Genomic DNA, 25514 nt, shown 5'->3' on the forward strand with positions numbered 1-25514 from the left:
TGGGGCCTGAGATTGATCTGCATCTAAATCTTTGCTCCTGATTTCAAAAGCTTTGCTTCCCCTTACCTTGCTTGCAAAAGCTTTGCTTCCCCTCACCCCTTTGCAGAAGCAAAGATTTAGACTCGAGGCCAGTCCTCCAGACCCCAGAGGACTAGAAAGGGGCCATTCTAAAGAAAGAGACAGAATCTAGAATTAAAGGAGAGACGGAGGGACAGAGAGAGGAAAGGACTTTGTGCCTAAGCTAAGACATTTTGATTTTATCCTTGAAGATATGGGGGACCACTGAATGATTTGGGGAAGTGAAACACCAGGATAAGATTTTTTCACATCGTTATTCTTCGTTGAGGAAGTAGGGGCATAAGGCCGGGTGCGGTGGCTCACACCTGTAATCCCAGCACTTTGGGAGGCCAAGGTGGGTGGATCATTTCAGCCCAGGAGTTTGAGATCACCCTGCGCAATGTGGCAAAACCCTGTCTCTACAAAAACTACAAAAGTTAGCTGGGCGTGGGGGTGCGTGCCTGTGGTCCCAGCCACTTAGGAGGCTGAGGTGGCAGGATGGCTTGAACCTGGGAGGTGGAGGTTGCAGTGAGCCAAGATCATGCTGCTGCACTCCAGCCTGGGTGACAGAGTGAGACCCTGTCTAAAAATAAATAAATAAATAAAAAATGGGGGCAGCAAACCAGAGACTAGAAACCATTTCATATTTGACTAGAAATATGCAGCGATGGTCGCTGAGGAAGGTCTGATGATGCTGGTACTTCTGCCTACACACACAATACAGAGAACTATATTAATCCACATGTAAAAGTGAACCCTGTAAATATCTCTTGTCTGAAGTCCTAAGCCAAAAGGAATTTTCTTGTAACCACTAAAGGATTTTTCTTGTAATCTTTTACATTGACATAATTTTCTAGTATTTATTAAATCCCCATCTGCCAATGGCAGATCCACTTTTAAAGGAGAAAAGTACAAGAGGAAAAATCTTTTCAGGAAAGTTACATTAGGTAGTAAAATTAAAGTATTAAAAATTATATATAAATTCTTCCAGCTCATCACATCCCATATAGATGGCAATCACATAGTGTTCACATTCTATAAGTTGACCATAGCTAAAGTAAACTGCAGGTGTCCTCTTTTTACAAAGAAATGTTCTTCACAGAAGTGCAATGTACATATTTGATTTTCCTACACCATTAGAAATGATTCTGCAAAGCATTCTCAGAAGAATTCTATGCATATGGATGAGACAGAATGAGAAGAGTATAATATGGGTAAAAAGTCAATTAAATATATTGAACACTGAAACCGTATTAATAGTTTGGGGTCAAAATCGGAGCAGCTATTGCGTGGAGTTTATAAGGAACCGTCCTGGGTCCAATCTCCCTCCATATTTTCTATTAATAGCTCTGAGGATCCTATGACAAATGCACTAATCAATCCACAGAAAATGCAGCTCTGGGAAACATTGCTAATGCTTTGGATGACAATATTAAAATTCAGGACGATCTTGTTAAATTGAAGAAATGAGCCAAAATCAATAGAGCAGCACACGCAGTTCTGCCAGGTGTTCCACATTGCAGGATACAGGGAGCCCTCGAACGGAAAGGAAGACCAGCCTGGTAGGCGAAACTCCAGCTGGTAAAGCTATCCAACTCCTGTTCTCCCTCTCCCTCCCTGACAGCCACAAGGATATCCAGACAGGTGTTTAGGGCTGTCATCTACACATGATTTAACTCCACTGCCTACAGCTTCTCAACTCTTTCCCCCAGAGCCCAGCAGTGAGGGAAGAGAGATGATGAATTTCCTTTAATATAAGTTGTAGGGCCCACACTGATGAATTTAGACTTTAGAACATCACATTAGAAGCAGAAAGAAAAAAATTAGGAAACAACTAAAGATTTCTAAGTAGGAGTATAATGACCTCTTCCTAAGGAGTGTCATAATATCTTCCTGACATTTAAAAACATGGTCTCTATTGAGAAAGGGGTAAGGGGAGATGAAGATGAGGGTTCTTTAACAACTCATTTAGCTACCCAAACTCTGAGAAACCTGAGACTTTAAGAAACTTAAATTCATCTTTTCTTTCAGCTACAACCCTTATCCAGAGTCATCCTTAATTACACTTACTTTCTTGTCCCCAGTTAGCAAGTCAATAAACAAGCCCTGCCGCTTTCACCTTCTAAGCAGTTTTCTGACCTGCACTCTCTTCTCCATCCTCTCCCCCGCTGTCCTAGCTGAAGTCTTCATCATTCTTTACCCAGACTGATACAGAAGCCTTGGGGGGCCTCTCTGCTTCTCTATTCCTTTAGAGCCCTCCTTCACAATGTTGCCAATGTGATCCAGAATGAAAACACAAATCTAACCTTGAGTTTTCCCTGTTTAAACATTTCCAATACCCTCAGTGCTCACAGAATGGGGTTTAGGTTTTCCAAGGTGGCATGCAAATTTCTGTGGTGGTTTTCTACCAGGAGCACCATGAGCACGCAGTATGCGGGGCATTTCTACATGTCTCATTGGTAAGCACTGTGTGGGGGCATTTCTAGATGTCTCAGTGTCTGGGTGGCGCTACTGGCCCTTCATGCCCAGGGCCTAGGGATACTAAGCATCCTGCAGTAATCAAGACAACTCACACAATGAACTGTCCCACCTGAATTTCCAGAGGTAACACCATTGGGAAAGGGTCCTCACCGTTCCTGCTCATTTCTATATCCTTCTAGCTCACTTTTCTGCACTGCAGCTACATAACTCTTCTTCCGCAACACAAGCCATGCTTATTTCTTGCATTTATACCTTAATTCTTGCTCTATGTGTCTTTATTAATTCTGATACCTGGAAAGACTCATCACTTTACTGATTCATAGTTTAAGCTTCTGCTCTGGTGTCATTTCCCAAGAAGCATCTAACGCACATGGTCTGACTTAGATGCTTCTTCCTGATAAGGCAGTAGTGCTTTCTTATTGTGATATGCTCTGTGCTCAGCAGTTTGCTTTAAAACCATTAGTGTTCTCCTTTACTAAGGTTCATTGGGCAGAAACTGTAGGCACTTAGTAGGCCTTATATAGACCTATGAATTTAAAGAATGGAAGGAAGGATGGATGGATGCATGGATGGAAGGAAGGAAGGAAGGAAGGTAGGAAGGATGGAAGGATGGAAGAATGGATGGGTGGATGGGTGGGTGAATGAATGGTTGGGTGAGAGGAAAAACTTCTCTGAGGCTGTTTTAGTCCAGGTGCCCATAAAATAATACAAGCATTATTTTATAGCTCAGGCAACAGTTGAGGTCAAAGTTTCGGATCAGGTCATCTGTCTTTAGTTCCAGCATTCTATGATGTACAAGTCACTCTATATCCCTCATCTTCAGTCACTAAATACCTCTATAAAATGTGCCAGGCAGCACCCTGCAAAGTAATTCACTTACCCATGTTGAGGATTGTGGGCCACAAACAGCACTTTGACAGGCACTTCTGTCTGGCGATTCTGTGTTCAGTTTGCTCAAGAACTCAGCGGTTTTGCTACCAGAAACACAAACAGGTGTTAGTGCCTTCACAAAAATATGAACATAATTCTTTATTTTTCCTTTGGATACTAACCTAGACTTATTTGGGTGATGATTAAAATTATCTTCAGCAGAACAGAAAGTTACGTTGAGAACAAGGTGTAGCAGAAATCAAAACAAAATGCTATTGCAAGATTGCATTCTTCAAGAACAATATTACAAAATTATAAAACTAGCTTTATGAAATGTGAGCTTATGACCTCATTTTTTCCACTTTATATTACTGACATAAATACAAGTCCTCTCCCAGAGCACATTCCACAGCATGCAGCCCTAATTTCCTATCTGAACATTTAATGCTTAACACTCAGACTTCAGGGTGGAGCTGTGGAACATTCACGCCCTACAACATCCTGCTTCACACCAGTTTTACATTAAGCCCTTTACCCTCTCATCTGCCTCATGGCTTTGACCACTGTTAGGACACAGAGACCCTCTAATCCAGTAGCTCTTTTCCATTTATGGATCATGGAGCCCTTTTGGACTCTGAAAGCAAAAGTGAACCCTCTGTTAACAGACACACACACACACACACACACACACACACACACACACAGTCCTTTGCATTTTGTTTCAGAGAGAGGATAAACCCTCCATAGGGTTTATCTATAGAGGTTAAAAAGTGCTGCTGATTCTAGACTGCATTTCTAATATCTCTTTTTAGCTCTGAAAAATTGACCTAGAAATGTCCTCAGTTTAAATAAGAAGTTCTCTGTTTTTACCTTAAAAATCCAAACCACCACCCCAATTTCCCCTCTCACTTATGCCAAGCATAGAACACTGGAATTGTTTCCTAGTCCTTACCTCAGTGCCTGGCCCATTCTGCCTACCCTTGATTAATTTCTACGCCTTTGTCCTTTTCTCATGTAATTTGTGTGATTTTTATCTCTTCATTGCACATTCACAGCCACATACCTCATTGAGCACTGACTTACTTTGCACCAGACTTGCGCAGCCTGTTCCCATCTCCCTCCCTCCTCCTGCTAGCCCTCTGCTTCCCCCTAATATTTTAAGCCCAATGCTAAGATCTGATTCATCAAGTACTTAGGACATGGGCATCAAAGGAAACACAAAGTATCTGGTAGAACAAATGGCATCCAGTGTAGGAGCAAAACAAGGAATTAGAAACTAAACAGGTGCCAGCATCACTTCAAATATTACTTAGGTAGAACATGGCATTTGAAAAAGGTCAGAAGCTTGATCTGGGGAAGGAAGAAATAAAAGTGAAGCAACATACAGAACCCTGAGAAACATTCAGCAGTTGAGACGAGCAGCCTTTCCATTTGTCTTAGATTACTTATCTTGCCCAGAATAGACAAGGAGACTAATGAAGTCACAGAGTGTGGAAGCTGCCCCATTGTCTGGGGCTTTATGAAGTCATCAGTCAAAAGTATAAAAAGAAGAGTGATGCCAGAAGTTTGGATGAGATCTCTGAATATCCTAAGCCAAGTGCAGGCCATAGGAGAAAGCAGTGAAAAAGAAACACTGTGACAAGCAAGGAAGAAACTTCAGACCAAGTTGACAGGCAGCCCTTCAGTTTACTGACTGCCGCTTCTTACCTGCCAACGCCAAGCACAAAGCTGCCTGCAGAGCCAGCCTCTATCTGTGGTCCTTGTGCCAATTATCACTGCCCCACTCATGCCGCAGGATATAAAGCAGAGTGACAGGGTCACAGGACTGCCAGAGGAATACAGGTAGGGGCCTGCAGAGTATGCGGATTACTGCCAAGTGATCAACTATACAAAGGAAGTCCCATGTTACGACACTAACTCATATTTTTCTACTATTAGCATTAGTCCCTGGTATATAAAATTTCCATATATTGGCTGAACTGAAGTGGGATCCCTGTAGGTAACTCTGGTTATATTTAACAAAAATAAGATGTAGAACCTGTTTGAGGGGCAAACGAAGGAAAACATCCTCGTGGGAAGTCCAACTGGACTAAGAACCCTGGACTCTAGCACTGTTTTCACCTTGCCCTTGGGGGTTCTTGGTATTATCACTACCGTGACTCTACTGCCTGTTGGAGAGGGGTGGTCCTCTTCCACTTTGTCACTCTGATCCAAGCATGAAAGATTTCTTCCTCTATTCTCCATAGAACAAAATAAAATTTACTTATGTCCAACTTAGGATCTTTAAGGGTCCTTCCTGCTCATTCTTAGGTTGATTTCTATGGCATATCCTGAAAGGTCCCTTCAGGAAAATCTCGCCTCAACAGAATACAGTTGTAGCAGACTGCTAAATGGTCATGAAAATTTACATTCTCCTCTTCTGGCCACACAACTTGGCTACATTTCCTAGCCTCCCTTGCAGCTAAGGTTGGCTATATGATTGAGTCTTGACCAATGGAATGTGAGAAGTGTTGAATGCCACATCCAGTACTAACTTATTAGAAAATTCCCATGCATGTGCCTCCATACATTGTTCTCCTGGCTGGAACAGAGACAGCCCTCAAGGAAATGCTGGAAGTTGTGCATTGAAGGTGGTGGAGTCTCTATCAGTTTTGGTTCCTAAATACCTGAGTGGAGGAGGCTGCCTTTCAAATTATGACACAATGGTATTTTAAAAAGCAGTCTATGCTTTTTGTGAATTCACTTATATGTAGTAAAATTAGAAACACTTGCCAAGTGAGAAGAGCAGCTCCTGGCATCCAGGAACTGATCTGATGCTCACGTCTAAATCTCAGTGTTATTATAAACTGATTTGATCTGACACTGAAGTTAAGCCTTGTTCCACTGTTGGATGTAAATAGTCACACAGAATATCTACTTCACACAAGGTCATCATGCAATCTACAAAGTACCAAACATCATCTCCTCTAAGTGAATGACCACTACTTCTTCACTAATTACAGCTTCGTAGTCACTCTAGGTCCTTCCTATAGGTAAGATTTATTGAGATACCCAATCATAAAACTGTCCCCACATTCTGATGGCACTCAATCCAGAGCAACTCCCTGCCTCCGTAGACCCTCCCCAAAATTACCCAACCAAAGCACAAATCCTGTAGTAGGGTCTTTCTAACACTTTCTCCCTGAGATAACTCACCATTCCCTATGGTATGCATTTTCCTTTGCTGCAATGAGTAATAAACCCAACTTGTTCAACTACAGGTATATTCCTGGTAGTTTTTGGTTAACGCACATTGACAAATATTACATACCAGGACAGTGGTTACTGCTAGAGAAAGACAGAGAAGGAAGGGATGAGGGTGGAGGGACAGCTAGCTGTCTCTGTAATATTTATCTTTTTTAATTAACCAAATATAAGTAATATCTTAACAATATGAGCTTAGTGGTTGATGCATATTTTCTGTGTGTTTGAAATGTTTCTTAAATAAAAAGGGGATAAAAAACCCCACACAGACTATGGTGGTGTTTACTAGGGAAAGACTTGGCAGATACCATTCCAGATTTCATAGAACAATAGTTTCCAGAATGCCAGTGGGAAGACCAGTGTGGGGCTGGCTATATGAGAATCATCTGTGGTGCTTCCTAGAAATTACTGGACTCAGGCCTCTGACTCTAATTGAGCATGTCTGGAGTGGGATCTGGGAATCTGCGTTTCTTAAAAGCACCCCTGGTGATGTTAAGAACTACTACAGTAGTACAGATGGATATTCAATATGCATAATTATCTTAAGTCTACATGACTCTGACTTATGAATAATTCATGTTATACAACACATTTGGAAATAAAACCTCAGCGTGTCTTAGGAACTGTCTGTATAAGTACAATCTAATAATGCATTCTACATGTATTTTGCAATAGCTTCACAAACCTGAACTTTGCCACCATGAGGTTTAGGTAAGTAATCATTCGTACATGCATGCATGCATTCATGCAGGCAACAAATATTTCCTGAGTCTCTGCCATGTGTTTAGCAATATGGGTTATAGGACAATCTAAAGAAGTATTATTTTGCTTAAGTCAGTTTCACATAACTGGGTATGAGCAAATGACATTCACACACCTATAAGCACTCACAGAGCCTATGTAAGTAAGAGAGTGAGAGATAATCTATTGGGATACACAAAACCCATTTAAGAAATCACAAGAACAAGATTTACAAAACAAAACATGAAAGTGAGTAGTAATGCTGGGAGAACTTTGTGCTTAATCAAAGTAATCAAACTATTGCATACACTTTACAGAATTCTTTCCCTTCATTTATCTGGTCTTTAATGATTTAATTTTTAATTGCAAAAGCAATACATAAATACGAGTCAGAAAATAGAATAGAAATTAGATAAAAATATAAAGAAAAAAAGTGAAGGTCCTACTTAATACCTCTCTCAACCTGACTCCTTTCCCCAAAGGACAACATCATGAATTGTCAGGTATGTATCCTGATTTTCTATTAATTGATAAATATCTATTTAAAATTACATACAAATGAATAGTGGTTTACTTTGGGGGAGGATAATTAGGATAAGGCAGAGAAGGCCAGCTGTTCTCTAAAATGTGTTTCTCTGCTTCCTGCATATATAGCTAGACTACGTTTCCCAGCTCCCACGCAATTAGATGTGACATAGGAGCATACATCTGCATTCTGGCCAATGAAATGTGAGTAAATGTATGGGCCAGGCTGAAGTGATCCACATCAATAACCTCTCACAGCATTCTTAATACTCTTTCCTCCTTCTATCTGATGATGGTATCTTAAGTGAGCCTGCAAGGCATTTGCAAAGGAGAGTAGAGCTACCTTTTGCCTACAGCTTTTTTTTTTTTTTTTTTTTTTTTTGAGACGGAGTCTCGCTCTGTCGCCCAGGCCGGACTGCGGACTGCAGTGGCGCAATCTCGGCTCACTGCAAGCTCCGCTTCCCGGGTTCACGCCATTCTCCTGCCTCAGCCTCCCGAGTAGCTGGGACTACAGGCGCCCGCCACCGCGCCCGGCTAATTTTTTGTATTTTTAGTAGAGACGGGGTTTCACCTTGTTAGCCAGGATGGTCTCGATCTCCTGACCTCATGATCCACCCGCCTCGGCTTCCCAAAGTGCTGGGATTACAGGCGTGAGCCACCGCGCCCGGCCTTGCCTGCAGCTTTTAATGCCAGGGGGCGAAAGCTAACCTGACTCAAACATCAGCCCTGGATCATTCCACAAGAAAGATATAAACTTCTTGTTCTTTAAGTCACTGAAATTTTGGTGTTTATGTTTTTTAACTACAGCTTTTCCTACCCTAAACTAACAGACTTTTTTCTTTAAGTGGGATACTATATTTTGTTCTGAAAATAGATTTTTGTCATCTAACCACATCTTTGAGATTTTTCCATATTTATAAATATATATCTTATTCCTTTTGGCAGCTGAATAGCATTTTATGATATGGATATAATACATTTAACATTCTTATGGATGGATATTTATAGTTTTTTCCAGTGAGCATCCTGGTATATACATCTTGTGCAAATACATAAATATTTTTTCTAAGATATACACCTAGAAGTAGAATTTTATTCTAATATAGGTTCCCATAAATAGATATGCAATTTTTTGTTTTTGTTTCTTGAGACAGGGTCTCACATTGTTGCCCAGGCTGGACAGCAGCCTTGACCTCCTGGGTTCAAGTGATCCTCCTACATCAACCTCCCAAGTAGTTGGGACTACAGGAGCACACCACAATGCTCAGCTAATATTTTTTTAGAGGTGGGGTCTTGCTGTGTTGCCCGGGCTGATCTCAAACTTCTGGCCTCAAGTGATCCTCCCACCTCAGCCTCCCAAAGCATTGGGATTACAGGCACGAGCCACTGTGCTCAGTCTATTCACGATTAAACCATGCTTAATAGTGCCAAGCTGATCTACACAAATTTATATTTTCACCAAAAGTTAACTTTATGAAAGTGGCAATTCAGAACCATGGCTAACCTCCTGTAAGTACTAATTCTATCCTGTCTTACACATTCCTATTTATCTCGGTCACCACCGAGTGTTCCAGTCTCACCTATCACTCAATATGACTCAGTCTCTCAATCCCACACTGCCCCATATATCTACCACTTAAGCCCCCACACCTCCCTCTAGCCTTCCAAACCTTTCCAAGGGGGCAAAAGTCTCTCGATCTTTATCCAAGAGTTAACAACTCAGGATTCTTAACCTCATATCAGAAAGTCTCCCTCAAATACAAAATCACCATTAGGCAAACATCCAGGTAAAAAAAAAAAAAAATGTTGGCAAGATTAATTTACATAGGCTAAAATCACTGGGCAAAAGTTTGCAGATAACAGGATATTAGTATAGTCTTAAAATATCTCCCCCAAAACATTCATCAATTATAAAGAGAAAAACAATAACTTAACAGTGGAGACCACCTTACCAAATGATCCAAGTAAATATCACCAGTGATAAGGATACTGATCATCATGTACCCTCTGATGCGATGCACTGAGAAGGACATGGCATCACTTCTGTAATTTTCTTGTTGGAAATTATAACTTCAAGCTATTCATGAGAAAACATCAAACAAACCCAAACTGGGGGAAGTCTACAAAGTAACTATCCATTACCCACTGAATGTGTTAAGGTCATGAAAGAGAAGGGAAAAAATGAGGTACTGTCACATATTGGAGGAAATTAAGGAATCATAATGACTGGATGTTTTATGTGATCCTGAATTGGATCCTGAAATAGAAAAGGAGCACTGGAGGGAAACTGATGGAATATGAATAAGGTCTGTAGTTTATATTAATAGTATTGTACCAATGTTAATTTTCTGATTTTGATCATTGTACTATGGTTGTATAAGATATTAATGTTAGCTAGATGAAGATTTTATTGGAAACTATTTTTCTACTATTTTTGTATCTTCTCTCTAAGTTGGAAATTATTTCAACATAAAAAGTAAAAAAAAAAAAAAAAAAAAGAGTCTGCCTCATTTTCCCACATTGTCTGAAACCTGACCACCTCTTGAGAACAGTACTTCCCACAACCCCCCGAAATGGAACTATTTTACTTCCATATACATATTCCTTGGTGCCTGAAAATGAAGCAGACATCCTGTTTGCTCCCAATCTACTTCCAGACCATTACTTCCCCCATCATTTGCAAAACATGTTTGCTTCTGTAGTACCCACAACACAGAATACACCATCCTCTTTGCCATTGTCATCCTTCAACCTTCTGGTCAACCATCTCTCATTTGTTTAAGATTTCAGCCTTTGGTGCACCCAGGAGGTGTGGGTATCATGTAATTGGCAGTTGGTCAAAGCTGGTGCCAGACCCAGCCTCCTGAAGGAACCATGTCCTGCAGCTTTGGGTGCCACTCGTCATGTCAGGCACACACTGCTGCCCAAGCGGAGCTGCTCTTTGAATTCTCTGTGAATGCTGGGAGGAGGAACACCAGAGCTGCTGGCTGAAAATTGTCCAAACAAGAGGAATACCCCCCTGCATGGACTTCCTGGTTCTCTTCCTGCTCTACTGGCTTTGGTGCTAGTTGGTTATGTTATGACCTGTTTTTGCTAGAAAACTCATGATTTGAAATGCCTGGTCAGGGCAGGGGCACAGATATTTTCCTGTATAATTCCAGAATGTCTTCAGAAAGCCATGTAAAGATTGCTTCACTACCTCTTCCATACATGAAACCATACCTTCATTATCCTTCACCTGGTCTTGCAAGGAATGGTAAATACTGAATATACCTGGGAAATACTGGGCTACCGTCAAAAGCTAGTTCTCCTGTATTACCTTCTTCTGCCCTGTCTGCTTCTGATTGTAAACCCGTTTATTTCCACCCTAACTTGTGTAACTGATTCTGGCATTATAAGAAAAGCAAATGAATTATTTCTTCAAGTTTATGAATTCAGTGATGTTTCTAAAGAGGTGAGGTGCTCTACTTATGAGTTACGAACACCAGCTCGATCAAAGCACTGACTGCAGTGTGTGCACCGTTTTGACCATCGTTAGGTTTGGGTGAACAACTGCATCTGGGCTTGGAACGCCAGTTATTAATACTTTCTCATCTACCTCTTGATGTTGACGGCTTTGGCTGCTGCCATGGCCATTGTGAGCACTGCGTTTCTGGTCGATTTGGTGGTATTGTTGGATTTGTACTAGACTTACACTGATGACCTTGGACACTTCCAGTTTATAGACTTGATTTTTCTTATTTAGTACCTGTTCCTGACCTTTCTAACAATTGTCTTCATGCTGGGGTTGTGGTTGGGGGGACGTTGTAATGGTCCTGAGCTTTCTCCTGGGTAGCTACCTGTGCTTTGCTCTGTACCTGGTTGCCATCAACCAGACTACTAATGAGTGGTACAGAGGTGACTGGGCCCCATGCCAGCATTGCCCCCTCATGGCCTGGCCCCCATCAGGAAAGCTCCAAATCTACCAGAACATTCACTCCCATGGGCTCTGGAGCAAACTTTGAGAGATCTTTCTACCTGCCATTCCAAATAATGAGAGAAAGAAGAAACAAGAATGGAAGAAGTGTCACTGCCTTTTAAATATAGTATGCATTTATTATTTAAGAAAAAACCTTCAGCCTTCCTCCCTATCTTGACTACTGTCAACATGGATATCCTATGTGCTGCCCCCCCACAGGCTGTGTTTCTTGATTTCTTGGTCTCCAGTAGCTCTTCTTCACTCCACCTCAGCCACACTGCCAGGGCCATACCCTGGACATTGTTGTCATGAATAAATGTCCTCTCTCCAAATTATCTGACAAATTCCATTCCTGAATACAGCTTTCTGTCATTCCATGTTCTTCTTTCAAGTACTATCAATATAACAACATTCCAGTCTCTCTGGGATTTCTAAACCACTGATTCCCCACCTCTTTCTAACCATCAGCTCCCATCTATTTTAATTCTTGCGCAGCTTAGAGCCCATAGTCCATTTTTTAAATCTTTCCCTTACAAATGCCTTTCTTCCTCTTCTCCCTGCTTCCATCATATATGTCTGTAAAAATCTCAAACCTAGATCAAGTCAACCATCTGCTTTCTCTGAGTCTGCACCAGAACAAGTAAATCAAACTTGGGAAAAATAATACATCTGGTGTTTGGGGATGGGAGGTATGAAGGAGGAGGGAGTGGTAAAGTAGACTGGCTTCAAATGAAGTCCATTAACTCTAGCTTCATCCTACCGAATTCTTCTACTCCATTTCACTCATAAATTCTTTTTTTTATTTTTTATTTTTTTGAGGCAGAGTTTTGCTCTTGTTGCCCAGGCTGGAGTGTAACGGCGTGATCTCGGCTCACTGCAAACTCCATCTCCCAGGTTCAAGTGATTCTCTTGCCTTAGCCTCCTGAGTAGCTGGGATTACAGGCACCTGCCATCATATCTGGCTAATTTTTTGTATTTTTAGTAGAGACAGGGTTTCACCATGTTGCCCAGGTTGGTCTCAGACTCCTGACCTCAGTGATCCACCTGCCTCAGCCTCCCAAAGTGCTGGGATTAGAGGTGTGAGCCACCATGCCCGGCCCACTCATGAATTCTTCTCCTGTACCTTTTGTTTGTTCTCAGTTCTCAGCTGACAATCTCCTCATACTTCATTGAGAATAGAGAAATAAGTCTTTCATCTTCTCAACACGAAATCTTTTAAGTCTTCCTATATCTGTACCTATCTTCCTTTAACAAAAATGTAAAGACTGCTTCCTCAATTATAAAAGGAGAAGTACTCTCCTTTTAATCATTGACTAATCATTAAGCATTGGTTATGTATACTCAGGAACTTATTCATATATTCTTTCTCAAGTTTATTTCTTCTGTCATCCCCTTGTGTCTAGTCTTCCCCTCCTCTCCTGGATCATTTCTATCAGCATACAAACATGATCAATTTAAGAAAACTTTTGATTCCGCAGCCTCATCCAGTTACTGCCTCATTTCATTGTTCTCATTTTCAAATTATTCAAGAGTTACTGATAAATGCCAAATCTATTCCCATATCTCCATTTACTCGTAAGTCCAATTCAATCAAGCTCCAGCCCCATCATCATACCCAAATCATTTATGTCAAGATCACAGCCACTGTCACTGGTCCTTCTCTCATTTGAACTTTCAACACTAGTAAGGAATTGACTAATTTCTCCTTTCGGAAATATGTCTGTCCTGTTTTCCATGATACCACACTCTTAATTTGCCCGACTTCTCGGATGTCCTTTCGTATCTACCCGAACTCTACATGATAGAGCTCCTCTGTATTTGGTCCTGGGCCCTCTTCTCAAACCTGCAATTTCATCTTAAGTGACTTTGTCCACTTTTATGGCTTTATATTTACATGCTAATATAATTCCTAAATTTATATTTCCCACATATCTGCTCAGTGAGACCAAATTCGTGTGTACAACTGCCCATTTGATATATCCAAACCATCTCAAACTTAAACTCTTGATATTTTTCTAAATATGTAAACTTAAACTTAACTTAAACTCTTGATATTTTTCTTCCCAAACCTTGGTTTTCACCTAGTAGCCCCCATCTCAGTACATGGCATCACTACACCTCCAGTACTTCAAGTCAGAAACTTGGGAGTCATCCTTGATTCTTCCTCCTTCTTCATCCCCAATATCAATATGTCCTATTGAACTTACATACAATATGTAGTTATAGTCATACGTCAGAGATATTGTGAGTTTGGTTCCAGACCACTGCAAAAAAAGCAAATGAAATATTGCAATAAAGTGAGTCACATAAATTTTTTTGTTTTCCATTCATATAAAAGTTGGGTTTACACTAGATTGTAGTCTCTTAGGTGTGCAATAGCATTATGTCTTGAAAAATGTACACTTTAATTTAAAAATACACGTTGTTGCTAAAAAAAATGCTAACATCTGAGCCTTTGGTGAGTTGTAATCTTTTTGCTGCTGGAGGCTCTTGTTGATAACCTGCTGACTAATCAGGGTGGTAGTTGCTAAAGGCCAGAGTTGCTGTGGCAATTTCTTAAAATAAGACAGTGAAGTTTGCCACATCAATTGACTCTTTCTTTCATGAAAGATTTGTGTGTAGCATGCAATGCCGTTTGACAGCCTTTTACCCATAGTAGAACTTCATTCAGAATGGAAGTCAATCTCTTAAACCCTGCCACCACTTTATCAGCTAGGTTTATACAATATTCTAAATTTCAAGTCATTTAATCAATGTTCACAGCAACTTCAGCAGGAGTAGTTCCCATCTTAAGAAATCCCTTTCTTTGCTCATCCATAAAAAGCAACTCCTCATCCGTTGAAGTTTGATCATAAGATTGCAACAATTCAGTCACATCTTCAGGCTCCACTTCTAATTCTAGTTCTCTTGCTATTTCCACATCTGCAAGACTTCCTCCACTGAAGTCTTGAGTCCATCAATGTCATCCATGAGGGCTGGGATCATCCTCTTCCATATTCCTGTTAATGTTGATATTTTGACCTCCTCCCATGAATCACAAGTGTTCTTGATGGCATCTAGAATGGTAAATCCCTTCTAGAAGGTTTTTAATTTAGTTTGCCCAGATCAATCAGAAGAATCACCATCTATAGCCTTTAAAAATCTATTTCTTAAATAATAAGATGTGAACATCAGATTTATTCCTTGATCCATAGGCTGCAGAATGGAGACTGCGTTAGCAAGCATGAAAACATTAATTTCCTTGTATATCTTCCAGGCATCTCAAAGTTAGCATGTTTGACCTTGAACTTTTGATATTTTTCTTCCCAAACCTTGGTTCTTGGTTTTGATATTTGGTTTAGAAATACTGCCAAATATCCTAATAGGTATTAGAACCAAGGTTTGGGAAGAAAAATATCAAAAGTTTAAGTTGAAATATGCTAACTTTGAGATGCCTGGGAAATATACAAGGAGATTAGTGTTGTTTTCATGGGTGATTAGGTGCATTGTCAATGAGCAGCAATATTTTGAAAGGAATCTTTTCTTCTAAGCAGGTCTTATTAGTGGGCTTAAAATATTCAGTAAACCATGATGTAAACAGAGGTGCTGTCATCTAGGCTTTGTTGTTCCATTCATAGAGCATACACACAATTTAGCATATTTTTTTAAGGGCCCTAGGATTTTCAGAATGGCAAATGAACATTGGCTTCAACTTAAAGTCACCATCTGCATTAGCCCCTAACAAAAGTTAGCCTGTCCTTAGAAGTAGGTATTGACTTCTCCTGTCTAGCTATGAAAGTCCTAGATGGCATTTTCTTCCAATAGAAGGCCGTTTCATCTACATTAAAAATCTGTTGTTAGGCTGGGTGCAGCGGCTCACCCCTGTAATCTCAGCACTTTGGGAGGCTGAGGTGGGCGGATCACCTGAGGTCAGGAGTTCAAGACAAGCCTGGCCAACATGGTGAAACACCATCTCTACTAAAAATACAAGAAATTGGCCAGGCATGGTGGTGGGTGCCTGTAATCCCAGCTACTCAGGAGGCTGAGGCAGGAGAATCACTCGAACCTGGGAGGAGGAGGTTGCAGTGAGCTGAGATTGCGCCACTGCACTCCAGCCTGGGAGACAGAGCAAGACTCTGTCTCAAAAAAAAAAAAAAAAAATCTGTTGTTTAGTATACACACCTTCATCAATGATCTTAACTAGATCTTCTGGATATCTTGCAGTTTCTACATCAGCACTTTCTACTTCACATTGCATGTTTATATTATGGAGCTGGCTTCTTCCCTTAAACCTCATGAACCAACCTCTGCTAGTTTCTAACTTTTCTTCTACAGCTTCCTCATCTCTCTCAGCTTTCATAGAATTAAACAGTGTTAGGGCCTTGCTCTAGCTTAGGCTTTGGCTTAAGGGAATGTTTTGGCTGGTCTGATCTTCTATCCAGACCACTTGAACTTTCTTCATATTAGCAATACAGCTATTTTGCCTTCGTATCATTCACATGTTCACTGGAGTAGCATTTTTAATTTCCTTTGAGAACTTTTCTTTTGCTTCACAACTTGGCTAACTAATGCAAGAGGTCTAGCTTTTGTCCTATCTTGGTTTTCAACATGCCTCCGCACAGAGCTTAGTCATTTTTAGCTTTTGATTTAAAATGAGAGACATGTGATATTTCCTTTTACTTGAATGCTTATGGGCCATTGTAGGGTTATTAATTGGCCTAATTTCAGTATTGTTGTGTCTCAGGTAATAGGAAAATCCAAAGAGGAGAGAGAGATAGACAGGGGAATAGCCAGTCAGGGGAACAGTTAGAACACACACAACATTTATTGATTAAATTCACTGTCATTTGTGGGCAGGGTTTGTGGGTCCCCAAAACAATTACAATAGTAACAACAAAGATCACTGATCATGGATCACCAAATCAGATGTAATTATAACGAAAAGTCTGAAATATTGTACAGATTACCAAAATGTGACACTATGACACAAAGTGGGAAAATGGCACCAATAGGCTTGCTCAACACAGGATTGCCACAAACTGATAATTTATAAAATTTTAAAAAATGAAATATCTGTGAGGTGCAATAAAGCAAAGTGCAATAAAACAAGGCACGCCTGTACTTTTCTCTGCACTGACATCACTTAAGCTGAGCCACCACCAACTCTTATCTGGACTACTGCAGTAACATCTTTAGTAGTTTCTCCATTTATTCTCTTGCCTTCTCAAATCTATTCACAACACAGCAACTAGAGTAGTCATTTCTTTTTGAAAAATAAAAATTTTCTACAGGTTATCCCTGTGGCTTGAAAAACATGCAGACTCTGTGCCATGGCCTGTGTGGTCCACTTGACCTGCCTAGCTCCTGCCTGTCTTGTCAACTTCGTCATCTCTTTTTTTCACTTCAGCCCGAACATACCAGCTTCCTTTCAGGTTGCTGAGTACCCTATATGCCATTGCCTCAGCCTAGAACTTTCTTTCTGGTTCTCAGTATGGCTGGTTCCTTCTCATCCTTTTATCTTCAGTTCAAATGTCATTTTCTTGGAAAGTCGGGTCCTACCTATCATGCTAAGGAGGTGTTGCCTTCCTAGTACCATTATGTTCTCTTACCCTACCTCTAACACTATGTTCCTTCATAGGAATTGTTCGAATCCTACACAGTTATCCTACACAGTTCTTTGTCAGCTTGTCTATTTTCCACATTTGCTCATGGAGCCATATTTGCTTTATTCATAATAGATGCCTAGAACCTAGTATAGTGCTTGACACACATTTATCGGTGCTTATCAGTCTAGAGGATTTTTCTGTTTGGGGTTTTTAAGAGACAGGGTCTCCCCTGTGTCACCCAGCCTGGAGTGCAGTGGTGTGATCATAACTCACTGCAGCCTCTAACTCCTGGCTCAAGTGATCCACCTGCCTCAGCCTCCCAAGTAGCCAGGACTACAGGCACGTGCTACCACACCTGAATCATGCTCATTGTTGAATAAATGAAAGCTCCTTTCCTAATGTGAAGTATTATCAATCCATTGATATTTTTGCCACTGAAATAATAAAATCTATATTTGTGTTTATCTAATCATTAGTGAAACTGAATATTTTGATTCCTATTTCCTCTTTTAACTGCTTGTTCAAGTAATTTGCCAATTTTTGAGTTGTTATTTTCTTATTATCCTATAAACATTCTTTGTGAAATTAAGCCTTTATCCATTATGTTTGAGGCAAATATTTTTTCCTAGATTATTATTTACTTAAAACATTCTTCATTATATCTTCTATCATAGATTTTAAAATTTTTACGTACTTAAAGCTATGGTCTCTCTTTATGGCTTCTGAGATTTGTATATTGCTTAAAAAGGAGTTTCTACCCTCAAAGTATAAAATCATCCTTCACTACATTTTTATTGTGTTGATTCAATACAAATTGTCAAATTGTCTATTCTTTTGACATTGGTTTGAAAGAAATACTTTCATTCATAGTTGAAGTCCTAAATACTGAATTTTTATATAAACATGGGTCTACTTTAGATTCTCTATAGCATTCAATAATTCAATTCATAGATTGATTACAATGCCAATAACAGTTTGTTATTCCAACCAGCTTTAAAGTTTTTAGTCTTTTATCTCAAAGTAATTTCAGTTTTGGTTTTAATTTTTCCCCAATAGTCATTTTTAAAGATAGTTTAAATTTTTTAATTAAAAAATTAGCTGGGCCTAGTGGTGCACACGTGTAGTCCCCCTACGTGGGAGGCTGAGGTGGGATGATTGCTCAAGCCCAGGAGGTCAAGGCTACAGCAAACCATGGTCATGCCACTGTACTCTAGCCTGGGTGACAGAGCAAGACACTGGAAAAAAAAAAAAACAGAAAAAAAATTTTTTAAGTAAACAGACTATAATTTCATATTGCTTAATTTCTAATTTTACTCCATTTTTCTCAAGGACTGTGGCTTTCTAGGATTTGGGGTGTTTTTTTTTTGGAGGTTACCAAGAGTCTTTGAGGCCTTGAACATGGCCAATTTTGTAGTAGATTTTAGTCAGTCTTCTTAAAGTCAGTATTTATAAAGAATATGTGTTTTCATATATTGGGTACATTTTATGTCTATACAATTATGCTTAGCATTGTTATTCAAATCCTCCTTTCTTTACAGAGTTTTTTGGTTCACTTGGTCTGTTAATTTCTATGGAGAATTAGTTAAATAAAAGGAAAATTTGGCAAATCCATAGTCTATATTAGAGACAAATAGTTTTTGTCATATGTATTTCAAACCTATTTTGATAAAGATTTGTGACTTGCATTTTCCTTTGGATTATATATTTTATCTGCATAAATATCTTTTATTGTGTTGAATGTTTTTCACCTTGAATTCAATTTGTCTCATACTAATATTGCTGCTTTTGTTAACATTTACGTGTATAACTTTGTTTTCAACTCGATTTATAGATATTCTTTGTAATCAAATATAGCTAGATTTGTATTTTTCTAGGCAATCCAAGAGCTTTTATTCTAATAAGATAATTTAGCCTGTATACATTTTTTGTGAATGCTGACTTATTGGACTTAATATTTTGCTTGTTACTTTTTATTGAAAAATTCCCCCTTCTTTTCTGCCTTTTATTGTAAAGGCAGAAATTGACGATCAAATTTTTATTTGTTGTATTATACTTATATGTTTTTGTGTTATTTATCCTAATTTGTACATATAATTAGCATATAATTAAACATATAATAAGCACATTTATTTTTCTATCAATCTCTGGAATTGATATCAATATCCAACATTCACTCATACAACAAAGGAAAAAAACTTATTGTAGTTCATATCCCTGTCTCTTCCTTGTGCCTCTTCTAGTGCTAAAATCCTCCATGATTTTAATTAGATCCTGTTGATTCTTTTTTTTTTTTTTTTTTTTTTTTTTTTTTTTTTTTTTTTTGAGACGGAGTCTTGCTCTGTCGCCCAGGCCGGACTGCAGACTGCAGTGGCGCAATCTCGGCTCACTGCAAGCTCCGCTTCCCGGGTTCACGCCATTCTCCTGCCTCAGCCTCCCGAGTAGCTGGGACTACAGGCGCCCGCCACCGCGCCCGGCTAATTTTTTGTATTTTTAGTAGAGACGGGGTTTCACCTTGTTAGCCAGGATGGTCTCGATCTCCTGACCTCATGATCCACCCACCTCGGCCTCCCAAAGTGCTGGGATTACAGGCGTGAGCCACCGCGCCCAGCCCTGATTCTTATTTAAACAGAAAAACAAGCACATATTTGACCAAAAATGTCACTGTCTTCTTTGTTCACAATTGTTCTGGTATCTATGCCTTCCTCTTTCTTGGATTTACTACTTGTTTGACTAGCATTCATTTTCATGTAATTTTTAAAATACGGCTCTTAGAGCTCACATAGAAGTGATGAAGTTGGCTATGCAGATGGCTTGTCTCCAGAATGGGGACCACATATTCCCCCAGGTATAGCATGTTTACCAGAAGCACTTTCTGGGCCCCAGGGCCTTCTTAGTGAATCTTATGCATCAAGAAGAGTTCTCAGGCTCTATTGTTGGGGGTAAAGGCTGGAGTTGGCTGCTCACTTTCCTTCACTTCTTCCTCTGCTGTCCTTGTTGGAGTTACACTGTATTCAGCGTCTCTTTCCAAACACTATCCTGGATCTCTTATGTGGATTGTATCAGTTAATCTTCTTCTGAGTTAGCAGTTATTGTTACCCCCTACCCCAGGCTATATGTGAGGAAACGAGGCCCCAAGAGGTTAAATAATGTCCTATTAATGAGGAAAAATGTTATAATTTAAACTCAGGCAGTCTAACCCCCAGATCCCCTGCCCTCCCAAAAGGAGAACATGGATGGTACTAGGTTCCAGTGATAAGAAAACCAAGTGAAACTATTTTGTAAAAAAGGAACTAGTCAACTTTTATTTTTTTACCAATTATTAATTGCATACAGAGAAAGACAAAAACTGGCCTGGCCAACCTACAGAATGGGAGAAAAATGTTGCAATCTATCCACCTGACAAAGGGCTAATAACCAGAATCTACAAAGAATTTAAACAAATTTACCAGAAAAAAACAACCTCATCAAAAAGTGGGCAAAGCATATGAACAGACACTTCTCAAAAGAAGACATTTATGCAGCCAACAAACATATGAAAAAAAGCTCACTATCACTGGTCATTAGAGAAATGCAAATCAAAATCACAATGAGATACCATCTCATGCCAGTTAGAATGGCGATCATTAAAAAGTCAGGAAAAAACAGTTGCTGGAGAGGATGTGGAGAAATAGGAACACTTTTACACTGTTGGTGGGAGTGTAAATTGGTTCAACCATTGTGGAAGACAGTGTGGCAATTCCTCAAGGATCTAGAAACAGCAATATCATTTGACCCAGCAGTCCCATTATCGGGTATATACCCAAAGGATTATAAATCATTCTACTATAAAGGCACATGCACACGTATATTTATTGCAGCATTGTTCACAATAGCAAAGACTTGGAACCAACCCAAATGCCCATCAATGTTGGGCTGGATAAAGAAAATGTGGCACATATACACCATGGAATACTATGCAGACATAAAAAAGGATGAGTTCATGTCCTTTGCAGAGACATGGATGAAGCTGGAAACCATCGTTCTCAGAAAACTAACACAGGAACAGAAAACCAAACACTGCATGTTCTCATTCATAAGTGGGAGTTGAACAACGAGAACACATGGACACAGGGAGGGGAACATCACACACCAGGGCCTGTAATGGGGTGGGGGGCTAGGGGAGGGATAGCATTAGGAGAAATACCTAATGTAGATGATGAATTGATGGGTGCAGCAAACCACCGTGGCACGTGTATACCTATGTAACAAAGCTGCGCGTTCTTCACATGTATCCCAGAAATTAAAGTATGATAAAAAATAAAAATAAAAAACTGGCCTGGCACTCACAGCTAGGCCTTGGTGTTCTCCTGTTGAAAGTAACCAATGTTACATAATGTCAATATCAGAAGAGGTCACTGTGACTATAATAGCTCATAACAAAAACAAGATCACTCTATAACATGTCTGAACACAGAAAAATACATGGACCTTGTAGAAACTATAATAGTGACCAAAGATCCCAAAATTATGGCTAATATGAGTGACTTCTGCTTCTTTATCAATTACAGCATGAGTCTCACTCTGGTCTTCCTTCCTTCTAGATAGAATTGATTAAGACACCTCATCATAGACCTACCCCTGCTTCCTGATAAGATCCAATTCAGAGCAAAGCTCTGCTTCCTTAAATCTTCCCCTAAATCACCTACGTATTAGTCTGTTCTCACACTGCTAATAAAGACATGCCCAAGACTGGGTAACTTACAAAGAAAAAGAGGTTTAATTGACTCACAGTTCCACATGGCTGGGGAGGCCTCACAATCGTGGCGAAAAGTGAAGGAGGAGCAAAGACACATCTTACACGGCGGCAGGCAAGAAACAGTGGGTGCAGGGGAACCGCCCTTTATAAAATCACCAGATCTCATGAGATGTATTCAGTATCACAAGAACAGCAATGGGAAAGACCCACCCCCATGATTCAATTACCTCCGGCCAGGTCCCTCCCACAACACATGGGAATTATGGGAGCTACAATTCAAGATGAGATTTGGATGGGGACACAGCCAAACCACATCAACCTGACACAGACCCAAATGCTATAAGTCCTTTCTGACATCTAAGATGGCCCATGGTTCCCCACGGTGTGGCTAAGGAGTCTGGAATTCATTTTATAGGCAGTAGGAATAGGAGATAATCAAATCTGTTTGACCAGTAGAGTGACATGACTAAAGCTATGTTTTAGAAAACTAAACTTGACAAAACATGTAAGACAATGAAGAGACTGGTTGCAAAGATAGTAACAAACTCACTGCAGTAGTCCAGGGGGTGACAAGAAATCACAAAAGACACAGGCCATGATTCAAGTGGCATGTGATAATACTGACATCAGGGCAGTGGCAGTGGGAATGAAAATGAGGTAGCATACACCAGGATATCTGCAGGGAGAATTGATAGTGGGTAGAGATTGTGATATGGTTCTAACCATCAACATAATTTTACATTCAATAGGTAGGAATTCCTCTGACCAGATTTTTCATAAGCTGTTCAGTCTTATTCTGAACAAAATAGATATGAGATTTTTGTATCTATAAGTTCACTTTATTAGCATAAGATAGAAAGTTATGAATAGGATGACTTTCTATTCACCTTACCTGGATTATAAAATTCAAGGCTGGATTTAAGCCTACCATATGGGTAAGGGATCAACTGAGCCCTTAAGTGTCTTTCAGAAGCTCCCATGAAGGGCATTAGAAGTTTTGTGAGCATATTGGAAGGCAAACTTGGTGCCTATGTGTGCATATTCAGCTGACTTGCCTGGATTCTCAGCTCTAGGAGACTAAAATAGATGAAGATGTGCCCCATAGGAACTAATCACACTATTATTCAAATGCAAGTAAAGAAGATGCATGGTTTCAATGGCAAAAATGAAGAAAACTTTCCAATATTACAATCGGCAGGCTGAGCTCAAGGTGGTGCAAGGCAATTTAGAAATAGGAAGACCCTATTTTGGAATGCGCTTGGTTCCAAGAGCTTTTCCAACTGAGGTTTTTAGAACTGAGCCCCTTGTCCCCTAGAAACAATGTTGGAAATTGTACGTAGGAATAGAGTGCAGCCAGGAGAGGTCACAAAAGCCCACCTACCCTACAGTAAGTTTAATTACGGTACTAATCCATGTTGGGTCTGGGAAGAGGAGGTCATTCATATATGCTGATCCCAGAGAAAGCAGACACATTTCCTCTCTTTACTTTTGCCTATTCTAGCAAAATCCAGATATTGGTAGGAAGAAATAGAAGTCAACTGCCCAAGTCTTTCTCTCTGAGCTGTCTGTCCCACCCTCTCCAATAGTCCTCTCCACAGGTAGCCTGTGTTTCTACAGTGCTCACCACCCCTATGTATTTTGAAGGTCAGGAATATCTGAGCACCGTCTCCTGTCAGAACAGCAGCGGTATTAGAATCTCATAGGAGAACAAACCCTATTGTGAACTGCACATGTGAAGGATCTGGGTTACATGCTCCTTATGAGAATCCAACTAATGCCTGATGATCTGAGGTGGAACAGTTTCATCCCAAAACCATCCCCCTTGCCCCATTCATGGAAAAATTGCCTTCCACAAAGCCAGTTCCCTGTGCCAAAAAGGTTGGGGACCACTGCTTTATATACACTATAAACACAGATAAGTAAAACACTACTCACAGATGTAAGGGACAATAGTTACTCTTGCCTCACTACAGGCACACGGGCATAGACTCTTTCCACTTCCCCCTCCTCCCTCCTCCCCTGAAACACAATGTTGTATTACTCAAGAGGTGGTTTGGCCAGTCCCCACTAAAAACAACATTTCATATGAATTTCAACAAAAAGATATTCACAAAATGTGTTATTTTACTACCTGTACTTTTAACACATATCAGGCACTTCAGAACATCTAGAAGAAAGCCCAGACATTTCAAAAAAAAAGTACTTAGTATTGCCAACCATGTATACAGTAGTGAGGAATAAAATACACACACAAAGCGATGGTTAAAATATGAAAATGTCTCCTAAATATGATCAGTCTAGCATGGAGCCTTCTTCTCCTCCTTCTCAGGTCTTCCACCCCAAGTCCTCTTATCCACTGAACAATTGTGGACATGTCATCCCTGATGTCACTTCCAGAGGTGGTCTCACAAATCCATTTCAAAAAGTCATCCCAGAAGACATTTTATATGATTTTTTTTAAGAGGTGAGCATTTGCAAGATGTGTGATTTTATGACTCTTTTATCATAATTTGGCAAAACCTATCTACATCTAGAAGGGCTAGATGTAGCAAGTGCTCTTTTAAAACCTTGGGGAGGTCAGTTGAGAGCAGTTTTTCCTATGACGTACACAGATCTTCTACACAGGGCCTGTACATTTTTCCAAAGACCAGTGGGCCTTTCTGTTGCCCAAATGTGGCTTATCTCCTACTGTTTCTCTTCTGATATGAAGGTATGATAGATGGGAGATCAACCCCGCCTGGTGGCTTCTAGCAGTTTCATCCGTCAGGGCTCTGCTCACCTTCTGGACCGTTAAGGCCTTGGTCCATTGTCATCAATAACGAGGCAGGCCTCACCCAACTGGGACAGAGTGGTCACCCCAGGCCCCGGTCCTGCTGGGTTTCAGGCCAACAGAGGTGGCGGAGTTGGGTCCGTCTGCAGACCCACCTTCCAGGCCTCACCCCACAGCGCTCTCCACGGTGTTCCCGCAGCTGCCAGGCTTCCCACCCTGCACACCGGCGCCACCCAAAGCGGCTGCATCCTGAAGGCTTCATCTAGGCCAGGCAGGGTTAGGCCGGGAGGCCCAGCAGCCAGCTGGGTCTGGGCTCAGAGAGGCAGCTGCCTGATGGTCAAAGAGGTGGAGTGGAGAGAGGGGCCCTCCTCTGCATCAAGGCCTGGGCCCTGCCAGTGCACAGCCATGGCAAGGGCTCCAGGTGCCTGCAGAGCAGAGGCTTGCTTGTCCTTGGACCCCAGCTTTCCTGGGAGGGCCATAGGGGAAGTGGCCATGCTTCACTTCTCACCAAGCTCTCTGCAGGAACTCCAGAGTGGCTTGTTGTTTTTT

General features: G+C 40.5%; 1 protein-coding gene and 1 pseudogene across 15 annotated transcripts in view; one reads left to right on the plus strand and one right to left on the minus strand.

Annotated features, from left to right (window-relative positions):
• Positions 1-25514, minus strand: part of EPSTI1 (epithelial stromal interaction 1) — a 105854-nt gene that overhangs the window by 36530 nt on the left and 43810 nt on the right. For 14 of the 15 annotated variants that reach the window (NM_001331228.2, XM_011535313.2, NM_033255.5 and 11 more), the window contains one exon: positions 3419-3512. In NM_001331228.2, the coding sequence (NP_001318157.1) occupies positions 3419-3512 (94 nt within the window). Of the gene's footprint in view, positions 1-3418; positions 3513-4793; positions 10387-25514 lie in introns of those variants that run through there. The other variant, XM_011535314.2, reaches the window with a different exon arrangement.
• On the plus strand, positions 10763-12015 carry ZDHHC4P1 (ZDHHC4 pseudogene 1; annotated as a pseudogene).

Source organism: Homo sapiens, chromosome 13, assembly GCF_000001405.40.
Source record: "Homo sapiens chromosome 13, GRCh38.p14 Primary Assembly".
Classification (NCBI taxonomy): domain Eukaryota; kingdom Metazoa; phylum Chordata; class Mammalia; order Primates; family Hominidae; genus Homo; species Homo sapiens.